The 2,370-nt window shown below is 42.6% G+C and overlaps 1 annotated feature.

The window, feature by feature from the left end:
* Positions 1,327 to 1,954: an enhancer, noted in NCBI's record as "OCT4-NANOG-H3K27ac-H3K4me1 hESC enhancer chr9:24579655-24580282 (GRCh37/hg19 assembly coordinates)". NCBI's record gives its function as "activates a minimal SCP1, AML or CMV promoter by ChIP-STARR-seq in naive and primed H9 embryonic stem cells {active_cell/tissue: H9 hESC(naive and primed)}" and the evidence as "EXISTENCE:reporter gene assay evidence [ECO:0000049][PMID:30033119]".

The following is a 2,370-nucleotide window of genomic DNA, read 5'->3' as shown; positions in this document are numbered from 1 at the left end:
ATTTCAGCAAAATATGTTAATATATTAATAGATCATTTCTTTAAACATGAAGTTTTAAATGCAGTAGTTAATGGGTTTCTTCATTTGTTAATATTGTTTTCTGGGCTAGAAATCTAAATTTTTACACCAAAATACTATTATTTATAATTTCACATAGATATAATTCCTGGGAACTATGATAATATAATTATGATTATGAAAATAGCAGAGTCAGATCTATATTAACTCAAAACTGGTAGAACAAGTGGTCTCTCCTCAATTACAATTTATCATGCATTTGCAGAATGAGAAGCTATGCAATTTATTCACTCATTCCTTCATTCAACAAACAGGGCTGTAATATTAGAATAATGAAAAAGGTTCTAAAGTTGTAGAAAAAAATCAGTTGCAATGTTAGACATTCTTTAAGGTACAAATGTTATCACACTCCATAGCAATATTGAACTGACCTTTAACACGTTCCTTGTGTGCTTTCGCTTAAAACAGTCAGAGGTAGTGAACACAAGAAATAGTTATCACAGGTTACACGGAAATACAAGTATACAATGACAGTGACCTTATAATAAATCCTCCATTTAATTTGGTTGCCTTTTGTTAGGAGCATAGATATAAGATGCAAATAGTGGTCACAGATTCAAAATTTGTTAAACTTTGAAACTGACTCTTCTTTTATAATGGTACGAGGCTCGATGTGTTAAAAAGTTGATGAGTGTCTTTAGAGTGTCTATTAATAATGGTGTTTCGAATTATAGTGATTTTACCCAATGAAACTGAAAATCCTTTAACTCAATTGGAGTGACTACCAAACTATGTTTTCAATGACTCAGAGAATGATGGCCAAGAAAATTAATCCTATGCTTACAGTTAAGAATTACCTGAAAAATACCAGCCATCCCATTACTGGGTATATACCCAAAGGATTATAAATCACGCTGCTATAAAGACACATGCACATGTATGTTTATTGAGGCACTATTCACAAAAGCAAAGACTTGGAACCAACCCAAATGTCCATCAATGATAGACTGGATTAAGAAAATGTGACAGGGAGGAGCCAAGATGGCCAAATAGGAACAGCTCCGGTCTACACCTCCCAGCGTGAGCAACGCAGAAGATGGGTGATTTCTGCATTTCCTTCTGAGGTACCGGGTTTATCTCACTAGGGAGTGCCAGACAGTGGGTGCAGGCCAGTGGGTGCGCGCACCGTGCGCGAGCCGAAGCAGGGCGAGGCATTGCCGCACTTGGGAAGCGCAAGGGGTCAGGGAGTTCCCTTTCCGAGTCAAAGAAAGGGGTGACGGACGCACCTGGAAAATCGGGTCACTCCCACCCGAATATTGCGCTTTTCAGACCGGCTTAAAAAACCGCGAACCACGAGATTATATCCCACACCTGCCTCGGAGGGTCCTACACCCACGGAATCTCTCTGACTGCTAGCACAGCAGTCTGAGATCAAACTGCAAGGCAGCAGCGAGGCTGGGGGAGGGGCGCCAGCCATTGCCCAGGCTTGCTTAGGTAAACAAAGCAGCCAGGAAGCTCGAACTGCCTGGAGCCCACAACAGCTCAAGGAGGCCTGCCTGCCTCTGTAGGCTTCACCTCTGGGGGCAGGGCACAGACAAACAAAAAGACAGCAGTAACCTCTGCAGACTTAAGTGTCCCTGTCTGACAGCTTTGAAGAGAGCAGTGGTTCTCCCAGCACGCAGCTGGAGATCTGAGAACTTGCAGACTGCCTCCTCAAGTGGATCCCTGACCCGTGACCCCCGAGCAGCCTAACTGGGAGGCACCCCCCAGCAGGGGCACACTGACACCTCACATGGCAGGGTATTCCAACAGACCTGCAGCTGAGGGTCCTGTCTGTTAGAAGGAAAACTAACAAATAGAAAGGACATCCACACCAAAAACCCATCTGTACATCATCATCATCAAAGACCAAAAGTAGATAAAACCACAAAGATGGGGAAAAAACAGAACAGAAAAACTGGAAACTCTAAAACGCAGAGCGCCTCTCCTCCTCCAAAGGAACGCAGTTCCTCACCAGCAACGGAACAAAGCTGGATGGAGAATGACTTTGACGAGCTCAGAGAAGAAGGCTTCAGATGATCAAATTACTCTGAGCTACGGGAGGACATTCAAACCAAAGGCAAAGAAGTTGAAAACTTTGAAAAAAATTTAGAAGAATGTATAACTAGAATAACCAATACAGAGAAGTGCTTAAAGGAGCTGATGGAGCTGAAAACCAAGGCTCGAGAACTACGTGAAGAATGCAGAAGCCTCAGGAGCCCATGCGATCAACTGGAAGAAAGGGTATCAGCAATGGAAGATGAAATGAATGAAATGAAGCGAGAAGGGAAGGTTAGAGAAAAAAGAATAAAA

This window comes from Homo sapiens, chromosome 9 (genome assembly GCF_000001405.40).
Source record: "Homo sapiens chromosome 9, GRCh38.p14 Primary Assembly".
Lineage (NCBI taxonomy): Eukaryota > Metazoa > Chordata > Mammalia > Primates > Hominidae > Homo > Homo sapiens.
This window is presented reverse-complemented; position numbering and strand designations above follow the sequence as displayed.